At 38.8% G+C, this 22,116-nt stretch overlaps 2 protein-coding genes across 7 annotated transcripts in view, besides 4 other annotated features; both read right to left on the reverse strand.

Moving 5' to 3' along the window:
- Positions 3,966-4,166: a silencer, noted in NCBI's record as "peak381 fragment used in MPRA reporter construct". NCBI's record gives its function as "represses an SCP1 promoter by STARR-seq MPRAs in K562 erythroleukemia cells {active_cell/tissue: K562}" and the evidence as "EXISTENCE:reporter gene assay evidence [ECO:0000049][PMID:32103011]".
- Positions 4,033-4,082: a silencer, noted in NCBI's record as "silent region_1222". NCBI's record gives its function as "represses an Ori minimal core promoter by ATAC-STARR-seq in GM12878 lymphoblastoid cells {active_cell/tissue: GM12878}" and the evidence as "EXISTENCE:reporter gene assay evidence [ECO:0000049][PMID:35858748]".
- Positions 5,601-17,903, reverse strand: NRAS (NRAS proto-oncogene, GTPase). Its single transcript, NM_002524.5, has 7 exons — positions 17,790-17,903; positions 17,182-17,309; positions 14,932-15,110; positions 10,701-10,860; positions 9,663-9,786; positions 9,286-9,324; positions 5,601-9,182 (listed from the first exon to the last, which is right to left on the reverse strand). The coding sequence occupies exons 2-5, from the start codon at positions 17,290-17,292 to the stop codon at positions 9,667-9,669; spliced, it is 570 nt and encodes a 189-aa protein (NP_002515.1). The 5' UTR covers positions 17,293-17,309; positions 17,790-17,903; the 3' UTR covers positions 5,601-9,182; positions 9,286-9,324; positions 9,663-9,666.
- Positions 17,599-17,698: an enhancer, noted in NCBI's record as "active region_1548". NCBI's record gives its function as "activates an Ori minimal core promoter by ATAC-STARR-seq in GM12878 lymphoblastoid cells {active_cell/tissue: GM12878}" and the evidence as "EXISTENCE:reporter gene assay evidence [ECO:0000049][PMID:35858748]".
- Positions 17,709-17,908: an enhancer, noted in NCBI's record as "active region_1549". NCBI's record gives its function as "activates an Ori minimal core promoter by ATAC-STARR-seq in GM12878 lymphoblastoid cells {active_cell/tissue: GM12878}" and the evidence as "EXISTENCE:reporter gene assay evidence [ECO:0000049][PMID:35858748]".
- CSDE1 (cold shock domain containing E1) overlaps positions 18,048-22,116 on the reverse strand; it is a 41,069-nt gene continuing 37,000 nt past the window's right edge. For all 6 annotated transcript variants that reach the window (NM_001242893.2, NM_001242892.2, NM_007158.6 and 3 more), the window contains 4 exons: positions 21,671-21,849; positions 20,711-20,874; positions 19,745-19,877; positions 18,048-19,348 (listed from right to left, as the gene is read on the reverse strand). In NM_001242893.2, the coding sequence (NP_001229822.1) occupies positions 19,301-19,348; positions 19,745-19,877; positions 20,711-20,874; positions 21,671-21,849 (524 nt within the window). In that variant the 3' untranslated portion in view covers positions 18,048-19,300. The remainder of the gene's footprint in view (positions 19,349-19,744; positions 19,878-20,710; positions 20,875-21,670; positions 21,850-22,116) is intronic.

The raw sequence follows: 22,116 nt of genomic DNA on the forward strand, positions 1-22,116 counted from the left end.
AACCCACACGTCTACAATAAAAGATTGAATAAAGCATGGTATAACCATAAAATAAAATGCCACACAATAAAATAATGATGTAGATGAATACATATTAACATGAAAAACATTCACAAAATGTTATTAGTGAAAATAATATTACAACAATGTATATATAGTATAATCTTGTCTTTGTAAAAAAAGAAAAGTATTAATTTACATATCACTCTAGGCATTGAAAGCAGCTTGTGTAGTTTACACTCTTACTCTTTCTGGGTAGTGTGATGATGGTGATTTTTACCCCATTCTTTTGGCTTATGTACATTTTCTGCCATGAACAAGTATTATTTCTATCATCAGGAAACAAACTCTAAATTTAAAGGAAAACAATAATAAAAATCTCAATTGTATCATCATCCGCAGCCTTCAAGGAAAATGCCCAGAAATTCCCTCTAATGGGAAAAGTCTATCTACTCATTCTTTTTCTCTAATTAAGCATGCTTTTCTTCAGGCACCAGCATATAAGATAAACTAGCCTCACTGAATTCTATTTTTGTTTTAGTTTTAGCAAAAATATTGTTTTCTATGTCTTTTTTTAAAATTGTACTTTAAGTTCTGGGGTACATGTGCAGAACGTGCAGTTTTGTTACATAGGTATACATGTGCTATGGTGGTTTGCTGCACCCATCAACCCGTCACCTACAGTAGGTAGTTCTAATGTTATCCCTCCCCTAGCCCCCCACCTGTTTTTTATGTCCTTTAAAATGATTGGTGTGCAAATATTTCAGCTATATCATGGACCACATCAGTTGGAGCTAACCTAGGGACTTAACCATTGTTTACAACATTATTTTAGTGGAAATCATTCTAAGATCCAAATATCAAATTTACAAAGGTACTTTTTAAATAGGAGATTTCTTGTAGTTCATTGAGTTGGAGATACCTGAGGCTCTGCGGGAAGCAGATGACGCTGTACAGGACTTAACTGTACACAGATTACTGTGCCTGGCTCCTTGTTGTCCAGAAAGCCTTTACCTCCATTCTGCTATAGCAGGTCTCTCTCCTTGCTGTGAAACTTGCTGGGGCTCCCACCTCTTTCCAACCTGTTCATCACCCCACATCCTTCAATGCCTCAATGCCCACAGTAAGTTGTGGTTGAGAAGACAGCATACCCAAGAGTTCTGTGGGGCTGAGGGTGACCATCGGTAAACTGCCAGCTCCATTTTTTTTTGTTACATTGCTTCAGTGGGAGCAGTTCTGAGTTCATTACAACTTCCAGTTTAGGAATAGAACTGGAACATAGTTGCCAGCAGCAACTATAGGTTTTGTCATCCTCTTAGAGGTGTGTAACAATTCCTTTATACTTAAGGAATGCGTTTTGGTTTGGAGCATAACCAAACCTGTGGAATGATGAGGAATTTTATGCTACTTTACTGCATTCAGTCTAATTTTCCTGTCAGTAATAATTTCCCACACACGCCTAAAAATAAAGAAGTCAAATTTTTGAGACACATCCTTTTCCGTGAGACAAACTGACTTTATTTCCTGTCTCTGGAATGGAAATGAAATTCAGCAATTTGCTTTAAACAAAACAAGCTGTACTTCAGCAGTGTACTATGTTCTGTTAGAGGAGAGAGGGAGGGAGGCATACTATGGGGTCCCTGCAATAAAAACAGTGTTAGATAGTGTTCTAAGTTATTGTTTCTTGTTGATGTTGTTTATACTATATATTATTTATACTATATATATATTCATACTATATATATATTATTTAATTTTCACAATAGTCTTTTGAAGAACTATTATTTCTTCCATGTTACAGTTGAAAAACTTCAGGTGTGGAGAGGTTGACTTGCTCAAGGTCATACAACTAATAAGTGGTAGAAGTGGCATTCAAGGCAAGGTATTCTGGCTCCAGAGTGGGGGCTCTTAAGCACTGTATTATACACCATCTCACTATTATGTAGAGTGCAATGAACATGATTGTGTCTATAGAATATTGGGATCTGGACTAGACATGAGGATGTGATCTAGTGATTCCCAGTTTGATAGATGGTTGTAGAAGTAGATTGGTGAAGTCAAGTGGTTTTCATAGTTTTACGTATGAAATCTTTTTTTTAAACTAAAGATTTTTTCCCCCCACTAGAGACAGGGTCTCACTCTGTGGGCCAAGCTGGAATGCAGTGGTGCTATCATAGCTTACTGCAGCCTCAAACTCCTGGGATCAAGTGACCCTCCTGCCTCAGTTTCCTGAATAGCTAGGACTACAACAGGTGTGGGGGTAGCTAAGTTTTAAAACATTGTAGAGACAGGGTCTTGCTATGTTGCCCAGGCTGGTCTTGAATTCCTGGCCTCAAGCGATCCTCCCACCTTGGCCTCTCAAAGTGCTAGATTCCAAGTGTGAGCCACCATGCCCAGCCTCAAACTAAATCTTGAATGAAAGCCTAAAATGAAAGAGATGAACGTGGAATTAATCTGGTGTGAAACTTGTTGGGAACTCCCACTTTTTCCCAACCTGCTCTTCACCCTACCTCCTCCTCCTTCCTTGAAGTTGGGGGACAAGGGAGGAGGAGCAGAACCACAGCCGTTCAGCCTCTCTGCAAAGTCTTCTTTACACTCCAAGGACTTTGAACAGCATGGTTTAAAAACTACTAGTGGCTGGGCATGGTGGCTCATGCCTGTAATCCCAGCACTTTGGGAGGCTGAGGCAAGCAGATTGCTTGAGCTCAGGAGTTCGAGACCAGCAGGGGCAACATGGCAAAACCCCTTCTCTACAAAAAATCAGCTAGGCATGGTGGTGCACCTGTAGTCCCAGCTACCAGGAAGCTGAGGTGGGAGGATTGCTTGAGCCTGGGAGGTGGAGGTTTGCAGTGAGCTGAGATGGAGCCACTGCACTCCAGCCCGGGTGACAGAGCCAGACCCTGTCTCAAAACAAAAACAAAAACCAAAACAAAACAAACAAAAAAACCTACTAGTGAATCAAAAAAAGCAGATTCTGGAAATCGGGAGACCTGGGTTTGAATTTTAGATAAAATCAATACATTTTTAGGGGATTCAGTTTTCTCATCAGTAAAATGGAGATGATTCCTACTTGATATGGATGTGAAGGATAAAATAAGATATGCAAAAGCACTTTGACATTTTTGAAGCAATATAAAAATATTGGTTTCTGTTTCTACATAGCCTTGACTTGAAAAGGAGAGGCCCAAGTAGCAGTGAGTTGTGAGTCAGTATATGCTGCATCTTGGATAGCCAAGAGGACTTGCAGGAAAATCAGGGAAGGTGACTATGGACAGTGTCCAGAGGTCAGCAGCCAGAACACTGAGGTTAAACGAGCTATATCAGAGTAAACACCGTCCTTCACCTTTGAAATAATCACAAAATTGCAATTAAGAAATTTTGTTTTAGAGGTTTCTGGGGAGACTCAGTAGAATATAAAAGATTCATAAGGAACCAGTATCTGTCAGATTCACTGCTGTATGCCCAGAGCAGCACAGGGGCTAGATACATAAATAAATTAGGTAGGAAAGTCTTAAGGAAAATGTACCAAACCAGTGTAACAAAAACATTTTGTTAGGGCTTATGGCTATGCCTCACAGGGGATCCAAATATGGTTCTCTTAGAGAAACACAGGCCTTGGTAATTCTACTTCATATGCCATGCTAGTTTTATTTTGAACTTTAATAGTAAATGTCAAACCCCTCAGCTTCACAGCCAAAACAAGCATACACTTAAAAGATCTCTTCTTCTAACTTTCAACATGTCTTTACACTTCATACCATTGATTTACAAAAATATTCCTATCAGGAATGTTGGGTCTCAGTTATAAATGTGAATTGATTTATAAGAAAATGTTTTAAAATCAAGTGCAAGTTTTCTTTCAGACTTAACTACAATCCACACATTTCAAGCTCCTACAGAAAGTATCAATAGCGCCAATTGTACCATGTCCACAGCATCCATTCTGGAAGATTGCTTTTCCTAACCTGGGTATTTCAGGCTGCTGCAAATAAAGAAGCCTGCTAGTAGGCAACTGCTAGCTACAACCACATCCTCCCCTATGAGACATGTAGCTACGTGCCTCTATCTTTAGAAACATTTAATAGCACGCTAAGTCCCAGTGTTGCAGGTGCTACCCATTTTTACTTCATATGGCTTCTACAAGTTGATGGTAATCTGAATTTATACTAGTTAAGAAACTAAGTTCATTCCTCCCCTTCATTCCCCATTCCCACTCCCGCCCCACCCCCAACACCAGTAGTTTATAATAGACTATTTCGGTGCAAGTGTGAAGTAAATCATATGGTAGAATTCAACTGCAAATAAGAATGGTCAACTCAACTCTTGGTTCATGAATCTGAACCCTCTTATGTTCCTTTTGCAACTGGAAAGAATATTTCTATTTTGTATGTTCCTGAAGTTCCAGCTGTCTTTTATTAAGGTAAAGGGTCACATTTCACTGCCCAGTTACTTTTAAAAGCATTACAAAGCATACCCTTCCCACTTGGAAACTGGACAGTGATTCTCTCTGTGCTCTCATGGAGCTGGACATCCTCAGACAGTTTTGCGAAATGATCACTAGCAAGGCCTCTTGGCCTCTTCTCATGTATTTATGGGTATCAAATAACTCATGCAACTATGTTGGCCTTTCAGTGACCTTAAATATTGCTTATGAGAACAGAAACCTTAATAGCACAGAGATGCACAGGTGGTTCCCTCATATTCCAAATAAACAAGCTTCTTTAGGTACCTTCTCATTATTTGTTTCTGTAGCTTTATTTTGCTGAACAGAACAGCAGTTCTCACCAGAAAACATCCTTTCCTCTTTTCCGTTATTAGAGGGTCAAACATTAGAACAAATTTTTGTAAAATGTATATGAAAAAGAAATAGAACTGTGGACTTTGTATGTTTCTCTCTCAAACTATCACCTAGGTCTCTATATGAGGTGATAGTTTGAAAGATACAAATTCCCTAATTCTATTTCTTTTTCAAATACATTTTATAATTAAAATATTTACTCTTTCTAGTTGTCCTAGCTAGAAAAAATATTGTCATTTAAAATTGGTTTTCCCAAGCTTACTTCAGCCACATGTTAATGACCTACCTTCCCTGCCTCCTTTTCAAGAAAAAAAAGTGAAAAAAAATTTTGATGTCTTTGGTAGAGTAAACCAAGGTCTCCAAAATTAGTATTCCAGTGTTAGTTGAAAATGCCTAGGTTTGATATTATTCTTTTTAAAGTCTCCTTAAGGTTGGGAAATCTGATATATCCTAATTCAACTCTTCTATTTTGCAATTGAAGAAACTGGGCCGGCGTAGTAAAATTATATCGGGCCTCAAGTTCTCCAGCCCCTAGCATCAATGCTCCTCCACCTATACCAAGATGGCTAGATTGTGCAGTAATGCAAAAACGAGACAAAAGAGCTCCAATGGCATCTTAATGTATGCAAATCTGACAAATAGCTATGAATCATCCCCAAGGTAATACTTTAAAGCAGGCTTTGATATATTTGATGTTATGATGAAATGAGGAACTCAGATATTCCAACACTTCCAAATGTCACATCCAAAAGTTTGAAATTAATATTAGCATTCTATAAAGGCACTTCAGTGAATATAAGAATTATGACTAAGCCAAGAACTTCCAGTTTTTATTTTTTAAACATCATTTAACAAGAAAAAACATTCAACCAAATTAAAAAGAACTAGGTTGGATTAATTTACAATAAAATAATCAACTTAAAATATCGGCCCTTCCATTTAGGGCCAAGGAGGCCAATAGTTCCTGTTTAAACAGCAGAATTGCACAATTATTTTTACCTATATTTGATGGCACAAAAAAATAAAAGTCTTACAACTTCCACGGACATCCTCCCCTCCCTCCAGAGCAGAGTTCATACAATTCCATCTTAGGTCAGTACTCAGGCTTTTAAAAATCATCTTACGTTTTGAAATATAATACAACTACTCTGGTAACAAGAATACTTTTAAAACAATTCTTATAGAAAACAAATACCTTAGATAATTGTGTGGCACATTAGACTGCTCAAAGAAACAGCAAAGATGAAAAATAATGTACAAGAATTATAGTCCCTTGTTTATAGAAACCATCCAAATAAAATATTTTCCCTAATTTTCCTTGCTTCTTATAATTTATTAGCAGAGATGAATTACAAGAAGCAGAACGCACCATTTTTTGGTTCTTGGTTGTAGCTGCCAACTTAGGAGTTCATGACTATAAATATAAAGCAAATATGATTATGCTCACAAGCTCTGGAATGGTAAAAAAACCCCACATATCTCTAAAGTGTTTCTCTATCCTTGCTTTCAAGTCATGACAAAAAAATTCACAGCAGTTTAAAGGATGGTGAAAGACTAAACATGGGCCCACTAAAATAGAGATTAATTTTACCTATTACACTCCTATAGTAAAAATTGTAATAAGTATGATATTGTATTAAGTAACATTCTATAGTAAGCCGTTGGAGCAAATACAGCATTTAACAGGTTCATTTACAGATCCGGCATGGTAGCCTTCAGACAGAACATCTTATTTTCACTCTTGAACATGTAACCTTTAAAAAAACCAAAAGGAATATGTAATTTATGACAGCTGGCCAGGCACTTAATTTGGGGAAAGAGAAGGATTTTGAGGTAAACTAGAATTCTTTTCAGCAATCACAAACATAGCCTAAAAACCACGTTTTATACCACACTGAAGTTATTCAGCTTTTAACTATAAGTTTGTCACTCCTTTGTGCCAAAATTCACACCTAGGTGTAACTTTTTTTTTGGAGACAAGTCTCTCTTGTCACCCAGGCTGGAGTGCAGTGGCACGATCTCTGCTCACTGTAACCTCCACCTCCTGGGTTGAAGTGATTCTCCTGCCTCAGCCTCTCAAGTAGCTGGGACTACAGGCACGGGCCACCATGCCCGGCTAATTGTAACTTCTTAAGGTATTCAAAGAACATACTCAAGTCTGAATTTTGGCCCCATTTAGAAACTTCTGTGCTTAGAACATACTTGGAAAACTCTAAGTACATACATACAAGGGCTATTGGCACAAGAGCCCAAGATGAGTAACTATCTTTCTCCCTAATTTGACATCAAATTTAATAGATTTTTAAGAAAAAGAATCACTGCCAGTCACAGACATTTAAAAAAGAAATGACTGAGGTGATAAGCCTCAGGAAAATTACAGAGTAGCACTGCTCCAGAAGGAGCAGAAACAGAAAAGCAGAATTTCCATTTACAAATGATGACAGTACTGTGAAAGCTCCCAGAATTAGCAGTAAGAAGCACAACTCTGCAGGTTCATTATACTCTGGACACAGTATATGTTTCTTCTCTTCTGAATTTCAAGGTAATATGACATTTGCTTAATAAATGAAAATTCATAATATAGAAGATGGAGGACCTCAGTAAGTATTTAGATATTAAAGACAGGAACAAAGTGGCCATTTTGGAATTAGTCTTTTATCAAAAGTTATCCAAGTCTATTTTTCATGAGAATTACCAGGGTATTATCTGCAAATTAAAATGCCAAGCCTCCAAATCCTCATAGGTATCAATTAATTATATTTTCCATTCCTGTCTCAACAATTTCAACTTCCTGTTTTGAGCAAACTCATCAGCTTAGATTTATCAACATCTTGTTTTAAACCCTTCAAAGAACATTATGAATAAAGAGAATTTAAAACGTTTCTCAGCTGAGACATCCTCATTCTCAAATGAGAATATTGGCTTAATTTAGAGTTTCTACATGGCTAAAAGAAAAAAAAATGTTTAAATACGTGATACTGAGTTTTCCAGTCATGGTAAAGGGTTTGTGCTAACTGACCTCTTCTTTCCTTGCAGGGCTAACTGCAGCTACCTAGCAAAATTACTAGCTGGAGTTACTGGTGCAATGAGCAAATGCAGAAGAATTTCTTTCTCTGTGATGCTAACTGGATTGTTCAAGTTTTGAAACTGTGACCCTGGTCCATTAGCACCATGCTTTACTCAACTGAAATAATCAAGCCCCTATTGCTGTGGGGGAAGCTGTAGAGGGTGGGGTGAGAAGGGGATTGAAGGCAATTATATACATCATTAAGATACCATGATATACAGTGAAAATGTAATTTGTTAATATACTATATTTGAGGTTTGAAAATCACTGATCACAGCTATTAAATAACAATGCACCAAAGTTTTACAATATTTGAACATCTGCAAATGTAGAGCTTTCTGGTATGACACAAATTTGAATACAAATGGAAGTTCATTGAATATTAGGTTTATCAGTAAGCTAGGGGAAACAAATTACATACATTGTATAGGTAGTAACCTATGAAAAAAGTGGAGATTAGGTAAAAATTATTAAGTGAAATTATTCATGTGCTTTCAGTTTCATCTTTCTCCTGGGAAAGCCCCAAAACAGGCCTCTGGAAAACCAATTTCATACATGTACAAAATGGCATCTGCTCTCAAATAGATATAGCTTTCCTTCAATGGTAGATAAGTCACAGACGTATCTCAGACATTCATTTCATGCATAAGGATTTTTGAGACATCTATTCCACTGAAATATTATAAAGGAAGTCTACAAACCACTTCTAGGAAAAAGGCACTTCACTGTGAAAGTTGGATTTAATTACGTCAAAGTTGTGAAGACTAGGATAGACTCAAAATTCAGTATTCATTTTTGTATTTATGAATCTAGAGCAGATGCCAGTTTAGAGAATAGAGCCGATAACATTATAAACAAACCAAACAGCAATAATAACTATATTCTTGGCAAAACAGTAATTTATGACATTTCTCCAAAAATTAGCATAGTTCTAAGTTCAACAGTAAAAAGAAAAAAAAAATCACCAGCAGTTGCTACTTTAGAGCTCAAGACACTGTTTTCAATAGAATTTCACGTTTGCGGTTTGGTTCTCTGTTTCAGACATGAACTGCTTTTCAGATGAAAAACCTGGGGTGGCAGAGGTGTGTTTGTGCTGTGGAAGAACCCAGGGCAGAAAAATAACAGGGAGTAACAAGAGGTGCATTCTCTGGTCAGACAGCCAAGTGAGGAGGTAGTTATTCTGAGAACTTCTCAAATAGAGATTATTGTACTAAACTACTGAGAGCTGGGGAAGTAGCAGGAGCTTCTCTGTGAGACTGAAGACAGCAACAGGAATACTTCTCCTCCAGGGAAGTCAGGACCAGGGTGTCAGTGCAGCTGAAATAGAAACAGAATTTGTATAAGTGACACATTCAGAGTATAAGAAAAACAAATATACAAAATTAACAGGAATGAGAATACATTTCCAAACTTGTCCTACCTTGAAAGTGGCTCTTTTCTGACAAAACTTTAAAAGTATCTGTAAAAAAAGAACAGAAACCATGTCCTTATTAACTAGTTTCAAAGTAGTGATCCTTCAAATTCCTGGTCATTGCCAGGAATAGGGTATGCCTACATTTCATAAATAATGTCTTATAATTTCTAATGTTACCAAAAATATAAAGATACCTGTGGAATAATCAAATGTTTTAAACACTTTAGACCTCAGTACTTTCAGAAAGGGTGTCATATGGAAAATGTGCAGAAGAGGATAGGCAGAAACTCAAAAAACATATAGACAATAACACCAGCACTCCTCCAAATTGCCCAATACTATATACTAAGATTTGTAATTATGCCAAGAAACCATATGCTCACCTTGTTACATCACCACACATGGCAATCCCATACAACCCTGAGTCCCATCATCACTGCTGTTGAGTTTTTTCATTCGGTACTGGCGTATTTCTCTTACCAGTGTGTAAAAAGCATCTTCAACACCCTATAAAAGGAAAAAATGAAAAAAAATGAGAGAGCTAGCTCAACGGACACAATCCAAATTATAAGCTCTCTTGCATTTGTATCTCTTTATGTGGACATAAGATTCCAATTACTAAACGAATAGCTGATAAAATAAAATATGGTGATTTAAGGAAGAGAACACTAAATTTCACATTCCTATTGAATCACAAGAACAGGCTGATATAAAAATGGCACATTTTGCCAAATAAACATTCATGCAAAGGAAAAGGGTAATGTGAGAAACACGGAACAAAACTACATTAAACTAAAGACTCCATTCAGGAGGCTTAAGCCATAAACGGGCTGGTGTTGACAGAGAAATAACTAATGTTTATAAATATTTTTAGTCAAGGATCTTCCCAAGAAATATTTGTGGATGTTAATGCAGGAGTAAACATGCCATAACAGAATATTAGTAAGTTCATTTTGGGTTTAAACAAGCGTTAAGAAAAAGAACACTACTAAAAATGCCTAACAACAGGCTGGGCGTGGTGGCTCACACCTGTAATCCCAGCACTCTGGGAGGCCCAGGTGGGAGGATTGCTTGAGGCCAGGAGTTCGAGACCAGCCTGGGCAACATGGTAAAACCCTGTCTCTACTAAAAGTACAAAAATTAGCCGGGCATGATGATGTGCCCGTAGTCCCAGCTACTTGGGAGGCTGAGGCAGGAGAATCACTTGAACCCAAGAGACAGAGGCTGCAGTGAGCTGAGATCACACCACTGCACTCCAGCTTAGAAGATAGAGTGAGACTCTGCCTAAAAAAAAATAAAAAATAAAAAAATAAAAATGAAAAAAATGCATAACAACAAAGAATATGAATATGGATCACATCTCTACCAGAGTTAATCAACTGATGCAAACTCTTGCACAAATGCTGAAAGCTGTACCATACCTGTCTGGTCTTGGCTGAGGTTTCAATGAATGGAATCCCGTAACTCTTGGCCAGTTCGTGGGCTTGTTTTGTATCAACTGTCCTTGTTGGCAAATCACACTTGTTTCCCACTAGCACCATAGGTACATCATCCGAGTCTTTTACTCGCTTAATCTGCTCCCTAAAAACGGGAATATATTATCAGAACATAAGAAAAACAAGATTAGGCTGGGTACAGTGGCTCATGCCTGCAATCTCAGCACTTTGGGAGGCTGAGGAGGGCAGACTGCTTGAACCCAGGAGTTTGAGATTAGCCTGGGCAACATGGCAAAACCCGGTCTCTACAAAAAAATACAAAGATTAGGCTGGGTGCAGTGGCTCATGCCTGTATTCCCAGCACTTTGGGAGGTTGAGGTGGGCAGATCACAAGGTCAGGAGTTGAAGACCAGCCTGGCCAATATGGTGAAACCCCATCTCTACTAAAAATACAAAAATTAGCCAGGTGTGGTGGCAGGCGCCTATAGTCCCAGCTACTCGGGAAGCTGAGGCAGGAGAATCGCTTGAACCTGGGAGGCGAAGATTGCAGTGAGCCAAGATCACGCCACTACACTCTAGCCTGGGCGACAGAGTGAGACTCCATCCCCCCCAACCCCCCCCAAAAAATATATATAAAATATATAAAAATAAATATATATTATATATATTATATATAAATATATATTTATATATAATTTATAATATATAAATATATATAATTTACACATATAAATATATATTTATATATATTTATAAATAAAAAATATATATACAATATATATTATAGCTGGGTGTGGTGGCGCATGCCTGTAGTCCCAGCTAATTGGGAGACTGAGGTGGGAGGATCACCTGGGTCCAGAAAGGTCAAGGCTGCAGTGAGCCATAATTGTTCCACTGCACTCCAGCCTGGGCAACAGGAAAAAAGAAAGAAAAGAAAGGGAAGAAAGAAAAGAAAAGAGAAAAGAAAAAGAGAAAGAAAGTGAGAGCGAGAGAAAGAGAGAGCGAGAGAGAGACAAGATTTCAGGAAGGAATAAATGGCTAGGGCAAAAAAGAAACTAGCAAATTTTATGTAGCCCTATTAACTTGTAGTATTTTTGCTTTTTTCTACCACTTAGAGAAGACATTGTATACTAAGGAGACTGCTTTAGACTTGTTGCAGCAGCCATCAGGAAGCCATAAGTACAAGCTCACCTTCTAATGGGAGTGGATGGGTATTTTATCCTGATACATGACCTAGTGAGGCTCCTGGATTCTCCAAAGAGCTTGGCTCTGGATTTAACTGGCAACTAGAAATCACCCTTTAGATTAAGGTCTAAAGTATAAAAAGTGAAGCTCACTGCTGCTAAATAACTAGGTGTGACAGTATTTAATGGAAGGCAGTCTATCACTTTTCAAGATGGGTGGTGCTCAAACATTTTCTTCAAATAAATTGTAGATGAAGCTGGGCATGGTGACTCCCGCCTATAGTCTTAGCACTCTAGGAGATTGAGGTGGGAGGATCACTTGACCTAGGAGTCCGAGACCAGCCTGGGCAACATGGTGAAACCTTGCTTCTACAAAAAATACAAAAATTAGCTGGGCATGGTGGCACATGTGCCTGTGGTTCCAGCTACTCAGGAAGCTGAGGTGGGAGGATCCCTTGATCCCTGAGAGGTTGAACCCTGAGAGTGTCATGCCACCGCACTCTGGCTTGGGCAACAGAGGGAGACTCCATCTCTAAAAAACTAAAACAGGCCGGGCACGGTGGTTCACACCTGTAATCCCAGCCCTCTGGGAGGCCGAGGCGGGTGGATCACCTGAGGTCAGGAGTTTGAAACCAGCCCGGCCAACATGGTGAAACCCCAAGTCTACTAAAAATACAAAAAAAATTAGTCAGGCATGGTGGTGGACGCCTGTAATTCCAGCTACTCGGGAAGCTGAGGCAGGAGAATCTCTCGAACCCGGGAGGCGGAGGTTGCAGTGAGCCGCGATCGCACCACCGTACTCCATCCAGCTTGGGCAACCAGAGCAAAACTCCGTCTCAAAAAAAAAAAAACAAACAAACAAAAAAAACAAACCTAAAACAAAACATTGTATCTGGAAGCCCAAGCGATAAAATAGAAAACATAAGAACTGCTCTTAGTAAAGGGAGGCTGAAGCATCTAGAACTCCTGACAGCACCCCTTTCAATGACATGTAAGGCACACCACACAGCACACCTGGGAAACAATTGCTTTAGATTGTCTTGACCAACACAATCCAACAGTACTTTATGTGATGATGGAAATGGTCTATATCTGTACTGTTCAACATGGTACCTACTAGTGGCTATTGAGCATTTGGTAGTCAAGGAACTAATTTTTAAATTTTATTTAATCTTAATTAACTGTAAATAACCACATACTGCACAGTACTGTTTTAGTCTCTACCCCTGGATTACCCACAAAGTCATGTATCTGAACTACATTCCACTGGCTATTTGCAAAACTGTGCTTGATGGTAATAGCCTACATTAAGGGATAAGACAGCCTAAAGTACCTGGACCATGTCACTGTCAGGTTACTACTGATTTTTACATTAAACAAGCCTCTTTGAGGATCCATGGGAAAATTTCCTTCTAGTCCGAGCAACTTAACGGCTTTCAGCATACAGATACTGAATCTTTCAGCTGGCTACTTTCCTTTTCACAACAGTGACCAAATTTGTAGTCCACCTTTAGAAAGCCACTGGAACTTCATGCACAATCACAGAATATGCTCACTCCTAAATTTGTTTATTTTACCCTTATTTTTTTGGTCTCACTTAAGCCTATTTTTCATTAATCTTATCTTGCTCTACTATATGCATTTTCATAAGATGTTTTAAATACTCTTTGGTTTGAGCTAAGGCATATAGAAAAATGAATAAATTTCTTGTAAGAAAGAAGAAAAATGACTTCTAGAAATTCAAAAAACATTTATTAGATGCATGCCAAGTGTGGGCATTTTATTAAGTACTGCTATTACTTTTAGACAAAAAAAAAATGGGAAGTACAACAGGTTAGGAAAAGAACACTTGAATTCAGTGTTGGACCAATCTGCTTTTGAGAGCAGACATCTTCACATGGATAGAAAATAAGCCAAGACTCAAGCCTTTAGGCAGAACACTTAAGTAGCATTTACTGTGTGCCAGGCACTATTCTGAGTGATTTGCGTATTTATTAAAACTGTAATCTTCACAACTCTATGAGGTAGGTATTATTATTTCCATATTATAGGTTAGGAAAGCCACATAGCCCCTGAGTCACGTCGCTAATAAACAGAGCTAGGTTTCAATCCAGGCAGAGTTCTCATTCTTAACCATTATATTATTCTGTTTAAGAACACTGTGCTAAGAAAAAGGAGCTTTGGGTTTTTGGTCCTGGCTCTGCTACTAATAACAATCCTGACTCCAAAACCTAACAAACGACATTCTGAACTCTGTTTCTGATTCTGCAAAATAAGAATATTGTACTAGAATTTTTATGGTCCAATCTAGCTTTGAAACTTTATGGTTCTATGGACAAAGTCTATCTTTATGTTCCCTTGCTTTGTTTTCATCTTTATGGACTTCCTATTTGCTTACTCCTATCATTTTATTTTTTATTTTTTTTGGAGACAGAATCTTGCTCTGTTGATTAGGCTGGAGTGCAGCAGTGCAGTGGAGTGAGCATGCCTCGACCTCCTGAGCTCACGTGATCCTCCCACCTCTGCCTCCCGAGTAGCTGCCACCATGTGTGACTAATTTTTTTATTTTTATTTTTGTAGAGACAGGGTCTTGCTCTGTTGCCCAGGCTGGTCTCCAACTCCTGGGCTGAAAGTGATCCTCCCGCCTTGGCCTCCCAAAGCACTGACATTCCAGGTGTGAGCCACTGTGCCTGGCCTATCTTTTCCATTACATACTGAAAGATGTTTCTTGGAGATGTTTTCCTCTCTGAAATTCCTTCGTGATCTCTAATTACAACAACTCTGGTTCCAAGTCATTCCCAGTAGCAAGCTTCACTTATGTATTATCAAACTTTATAGTAACAGTATATTATGTAAAATAAATTCCAGTATTAACTTTCAGTAATTACCCTAGATTCTCAATGTCAAACAACCTAAAACCAACTCTTCCCATAATTAAAAAGCTCTATCTTCCCTAGTGTGGTAACCTCATTTCCCCATAAAGATTCAGAACACAAAGATCATCCTTTCAGAGAAAATAATGCTCCTAGTACCTGTAGAGGTTAATATCCGCAAATGACTTGCTATTATTGATGGCAAATACACAGAGGAAGCCTTCGCCTGTCCTCATGTATTGGTCTCTCATGGCACTGTACTCTTCTTGTCCAGCTGTATCCAGTATGTCCAACAAACAGGTTTCACCATCTATAACCACTTGTTTTCTGTAAGAATCCTGGGGGTGTGGAGGGTAAGGGGGCAGGGAGGGAGGGAAGTTCAATTTTTATTAAAAACCACAGGGAATGCAATGCTATTGCCAAGGTTAAATAAGCATCTAACTATTCAAGCCCATTTCTGCCTATCTGGTTTGTCCCTCAAATTGCTAATATATAATCACAAACAAAAAGTATCCAATATCACCCTACATAAAAGAAAACCCACCAAATTCTATATGCCTGCAGAAAAGAAATATGGTCACTGTGTTCCTGGAAAAGATTAAGAAAACACAGTAACTCAAATGACAACTCTACTGCAGCCAGGAGGCTACAGATTAAGTACCCAGTGTATTTCACTAAGCTATGAACTGGACTGTTTTATTTGTGCTGTTTATTTTACTTAAAGAAATCTAAACATACCTCCACCAATTATAACCTGGCCCTATATACATCATTTGTGTTTATGACTAAATATACAAATACCTTTGTTTCAGAGAAGGTTTTTTTTTTATCATGACAGATGTACCTTTGGGAAATATTCCTGAATCAAATTCTTAAAGGTTCCAAACAAGGTATAGTTATGTTTAATTTCTCAGGAAGACAAACATGCATAGATCATATAAAAAATACTTTCATTTTGGTTTTATGGCAACAGGACTTTTACTTGTATTTTAATGTCATCACACTTGGAGAACTCTCTGGAGTACTGGAAGTGCTCTATACTGTTATCTGGGTGGTAGCTACATGACTATATAGAAACGCAAAAAGCACTGGGCTGTAGACATAAAATTTATGTATTTTACTTATGTAAATTGCTCAATAAATCAAACATTTAAAAATATTTAATTAAAATATTAAACATTTCATGTAAAATATTAAAGCTGTTAAGCTCAAAATAAAGATTTTGCCAAGGGTTAGCAACCAATTTTTTATAGTGGCTACATTAGAGTTAGTTTTCATCAATTAAACACGAGTAGCCAGATGGTAGGGAGGCCAGGTGTTGATTAAAATAATCTCTAAAGTTAGGCATTTCTAAACTGAACAAAATTACAAAACCCTTTATTTATTTATCTATTTATTTATTTTTTGAGACGAAGTCTCGCTCTGTTGCCCAGGCTGGAGGTCTGTGGTGTGATCTCGGCTCACTGCACCCTCTGCCTCTGGTTCAAGCGATTCTCCTGCCTCAGCCTCCTGAGTAGCTGGGATTACAGGTGCCTGCCACCACACCCAGCTAATTTTTGTATTTTTAGTAGAGACGGGGTTTCACCATGTTGATCAGGCTGGTCTTGAACTCCTGACCTTGTGATCCGCCTGCCTCAGCCTCCCAAAGTGCTGGGATTACAGGCGTGAGCCACCGTGTCCGGCAAAACCCTTTATTTAAAGAGCCTTAGGTGCCACTTACTGAAGACAATCTGTACCATGAACTCTCATAATAACAATAGAATCCCTAAGTACTATTACATAGTGCTTTACCATTCATAAATAACTTAAATATATTATTTAACTTTCCATAACATCCCTGTGTGGTAGGCAGGACAAGTTTATGGTAATTTAAAACATGAGGAAAATGAGGTTGGGAGAGATTCAGTTGCTCAATATCACACAACTAAATAAACTGCAAACAGGGACCAAAATCCTAGGCATAAAGACTAAAAATCTCAAGTTCTTGCTACTCCAATCATCTGGTCTCAGCTGCTTCAACTAGCTAATAAATAAATATTGAAGAACACTCATCTCTGAATCCTTTATCTCCATCCTATTATCTCCCATACAATCAGACAGTCTCGCTACTATGGCCTGTGTTTCTCATGTAATAGAGCTGTTATATATGAAGAAACTCATGAATGAACTCAACACTGAGTTTGCAATAGTTTACAGAACTGTTAAAAACTGGACAGGTTTTAGAAACTTCAGCAGCTAATAAAAATGAACTGTTCTCTATAAACACGTTAAGCTTATTGCATAACTGAATGTATACCCAAAATAACTTTTTACTTTCTCTCCTCTTATTCCTTTAATACAGAATATGGGTAAAGATGATCCGACAAGTGAGAGACAGGATCAGGTCAGCGGGCTACCACTGGGCCTCACCTCTATGGTGGGATCATATTCATCTACAAAGTGGTTCTGGATTAGCTGGATTGTCAGTGCGCTTTTCCCAACACCACCTGCTCCAACCACCACCAGTTTGTACTCAGTCATTTCACACCAGCAAGAACCTGTTGGAAACCAGTAATCAGGGTTAATTGGCGAGCCACATCTACAGTACTTTAAAGCTTTCTATAATCAATGGAAATGAAAACCCTAGTGTGACCTTCCATTTGGTTCTTAAAGTGACTAGAGAACGCAAAAACACCGGATTAATATCGGCCTCACACTTCTGGAGTAGTTTTCTAGCAACCCCCATCCTTAGCTATTTTTCAACAGTCCTTGGGCCCCGCCCTCAGCCTAAGCAATGGAAATCCCCCTTCCTATTACTCCCCGAAGGCTTCTCAGCTCTAGCAGGAAGCCTCCAGGCCGCAACTCCTTCCCATTCTCCCTTCTGTCTCCAAAGATCTCCCCACGTAGGCACCAAATGGAAGGACCCCCGCCCAAGGCCTTTGTCTCCAGCTGATAGATTCTGCTCCATTTCTGGCATCAGTGAAACGCCTGAACATTCCACAGCCCAAAGCCGAACACTATGCATGAGATAAACTTACCTCAAGCTCCACTGCCTCTGCTTTGGACAGATTTAGGACCACAGCCGGGAAAAATGTTGGAGACCCCGGAACCGCCATGAACAGCCCCCACCAAGGAGCGGCACTTCCGGCCCCGCCCGCTACGTAATCAGTCGGCGCCCCAGGCGCCTGAGTCCCCGCCCCGGCCACGTGGGCCTCCGAACCACGAGTCATGCGGCAGGCCGCACCCAGACCCGCCCCTCCCACACGGGACGTTTCAATAATGAAAGCGCTAGGTGCTAGTGTCTCAAAAATCAGTAAAACTTTATTCGCTTCCATTCTTTCGCCATTAACAGAAAACTGGAGAAAGCAAAAATGTTTCGTGTTTACAAAGATAAACGGCCTCTTTACCCAGAGATCAAAACCTCAAACGACAAGGGGGAAGATAAAACCGCCCTCCCCCACATCCCCTGAGCTGACCCTTGTCATCTTAGACAAAGCCTTCAGTCCACTGGCCAGGGACCCTGTATATGGCCAATTCAAGAAGAGGGCCAAGAAATCAGACCCATCCATTCCCGTGATATAAAGTTGAACAGAAGCTACACCAAGGGTCAAGTGTCTGTATTTTACAGGACACAGTAACCAGGCGGCTACTTATAAAAAAAAACAAGATTCATTTCAGGCACAACTTTTTTATTTTTTTTTGTTTTGTTTTTAAATCAGTAAAAGAAACCGGGTCCTAGAAGCTGCAGTGATCTAAGCAGCAGCAAGTTTGTGCATTCATTTTTTTTGTTTTTGTTTAAATATGTTTAAATTATCACACTGCTGGCACTCCTCATTTGCATGAAATTCTGCACCATACTTACTAATTGTAGTAAAGTTACCCCCCAACCCACGAAAAAAAACCTACTCTGGAAGAAAATTTTCACTGAAATATAACCAAACTTCTTTAAGTGGATTGTGACAAGATTATAAATGATATGAAAAATAACATTTTAAAATTTGGCCATCAACTTTAAGAAATGGTTTGCCTATACAAATTTTTGTAATTTTTAAAAGATAATATATTCTACCCTCATATGGTCCTCAGAATTAAAGCATAATGAACAGGAAGAAAAAGGAAAAGAATGCAACTGAGTGCTAAGGCAGAACATCTTGCCAGAAGTAATTAATGAAGGTAGAGTATATAATGAAAAGTGCAGAATTTCATAGGGCCAACAAGATAACAGTCTATATTTTTCACTTACACAGGCAAAGTGGATTCTGCAATTACCAGTTGCGTTAAATGCACCAAATAAAGCTCCTAAAATTGATACTATAAGGCGCCACCTTAAGTTTTTCCAGGCTGCAACTGTGCATTATTTAAAATGGTTTTCTTAAATTTATTTATTTTTTTAAACATAACACGAGGAAGGTGTTAAAACTGGTGTAATAGCTCAATAGAATAAGTATTCCAGATTTCGGGAGGGATGAAGAGGGAGATATTCAGAACCCTTCACCAGATTCCCCCCAACTTGATCATAGTGGATTAATGGTGTGCTTTGTGGATGTGGTTAGTCAATGACACCAGCTTGACGGATCTTTCTTTCTGCACCAAACCCCTGTGGGGGGGAGAAAAAAAAAACCCTGCAGTTAATGATTTGAGCGCACAACAATCATAGTACATTCACTATTCCGAAATGAAACTACAAAAGCATTATTTTTAATCATCTTATGCAGTACTAATTCTTTCCTAGAGGAGAAAATCCACAGTAAGCACTCCTGACCCATTCATTACCTAAACTGTCTTCAAAGCATCAAGAAAAGAAATGTGCTTCTTACTGTAAGCAACCATTAGGTTAGGGGGCTGAACCAATGTGTAGAAAGTCCTAACTAGTTATAAGCAATATGGAAGTCTCCCTGCTTCATTAAGTTTCCTGACCTATTGTTTAAATAGGACCACATATTTTATGTTGGTCTATCAGTTGGCCTCCCCCAAGCCTTGTATGCCCTCATACCATTGAGTTATCTGGTCCCCTTGGCTGACGAAGAACCATTAGGCGAGGAGCACTGGCATCATCCAGAGTGATATTCTTCAAGCGATTGACCAACCGATCAGGTCGAGGAGCTGCAACAGCCTTGGGGCCCTCACTGTAATTAAGTCAAAAGATGAGAAGAAACCACACTTGGTGGGCAGACAGCAAGCACTTGCAAAGGAGTGTGTTTTCCACCTAACTGCCCAAATGACTCACTTTTTATGATGGGACTCTTGCCTCATATACCTAGCTAGAAAGACAGGACAGACAAGTTTGTTTATGTATTATTATCCCCAACTCAAGGTCCCAACTTAATAGGAATGGAAGGAATCATTTGCAGACCCTAGACTTGAATGCAATCAAGAGTGACCAGTTCCACAGATGCATAAAAAAACAAGGTAGCAGATGTGGTAGCTAACACCTGTAATCCCAGCGCTTTGAGAGGACAGGGCAGGAGGAACACTTGAGCCCAGAAGTTCGAGATCAGCCTGGGCAAAACAGTGGGACCATGTCTCTACAAAAAATAAAATTGGCTGCATGTGGTGGCGCATGCTTGTAGTCCCAGCTACTGGGGAAGCTGACGTGGGAGAATTGCTTAGGCCCAGGGGGTTGAGTCTGCAGTGAGTCGTGATAGCGCCTGGGTAACCGAATCAGACTGTGAGACTGTCTCTGGGGAAGCAAAGCGGCATTATGAATCAGCATGGCTAAACTATTAGAATTTTAAGTAGCATATAACCTAGAAATGACTTAATGGAAGAAGAAGAATTTGGCAAAAATTTTAAAAAACATGTACTAAACAATCTTTTTGTATTCAACTAGAAGTAGGAAGTATCAAGAAATAATAAGTGGCAGAAGACAAGGCACAGAAAAGTGATGTGACAAAACAGAGACTATAAAGTTGAGACACTCCAGGGTAGTTACTAATCAAACCACAACAACAAAACTCACCAGACTCGCCAAACATTACAGGCGCTGCACTTGCCAGTGCGCTGATTAAGAATCACTGAGAACTCCACCTCATCTCCTGCCTGTAGCTCAATGCCATCCTGAACTTCTTTCACATGGAAAAAGAGCTTCTTGCTATCTCCTACTTCATAGTTAATGAAGCCAAACTGAAAAAAAAAAGTAGGTAAAAAAGAGAGGGCATGCCACACCTCACTCTGAATGAAGCACAATGCCTGCCCCTATCTAAAAGGATGTATAAAACATGGTATTAATGTTGATACTCCAGTCCAGCTGCCTGTGGCAAAACCTGTCAGGGAAGAAATGTATCTCTGAAAGTGCCATTCACTATATCACAAACTTGAACCAAACAAATAAAACTTGCCTTGTTCCTTCGTATATTATGAACTAAGCTTTTTGAATTAAGCAAACTCATCAGGAAGCTGTTACTTCAACATATATATTGTTTGGATCCCCTCTAGAATTAAGCTGGGTTATAGTAGCAGCCATACAAAATGTTATTATTCTCTGTACTGATGAAAAACATTCTGAGGACTCAGATTTCCCTGAGATCTCAGGAGTAAGACTAAGTTTGTTTGCCCTAAGCTTATTTTTTAAGTACTTTTGAACGTGGTTTCTGTGTTTGTGTGATATGCAAAAGAAGCTCTAAGCAAAAGTGTACAAAACCATATAGTCCTTCTATTCTGGAAATCTCACCCCTAACTTATTTTCCCCATTGCATAATATTAGTTACTAATACCAATCTTACTTTCTCATTGCTAATATAGTCACTTTTTGTGTAGTTTTCTGTTTTTATTAAGCTACCTCAAATGACTGAAAAAAGGTGAAGTAGAAATAAAAAAACGAATGAATGTTGATGATTTCCCCTTGGCTGAAAATATTTGAAGGTTTTGGTTACCAACTCATAGAAGGATCAAATTCAGATACAGAGATGCTGGCACTTACCTGATCTTTCACACATTCCACTGTGGCCCTGCGCAGGGGTGTGATGTTGTAAGCCATAGTTTGTGCATTTTGGCCCAGGACACACAATTGGAACTTGACGCTCTCCCCTTTCTGCAGGCAATCCCCTTTGTTGGCCATCCCAACGATGCCAAATGGATAGACCTCACCTTTCATATCGCCTGTAAAACAGGTACAAAGTCTAAAAGCTAGTATTTCACAACAGTCCTCTGCTGATGACCCTAGGAAGTTTATATAACTGCTAAAAATGTGTTATGTTACTTAAAATATATTTACATTTTCAGTACTCAGAAGTTTCACCTTAAAGCTTAAATGAAATCCTAAATGTTAAATACTACCATGGAACCAAATGAGAATGTCACAGCTCCCATCAGTACTTTATTAGCTGATGAACAATTTTAAACTGCATTTATAAATTAAAACAAAAA

Source organism: Homo sapiens, chromosome 1 (assembly GCF_000001405.40).
Source record: "Homo sapiens chromosome 1, GRCh38.p14 Primary Assembly".
Lineage (NCBI taxonomy): Eukaryota > Metazoa > Chordata > Mammalia > Primates > Hominidae > Homo > Homo sapiens.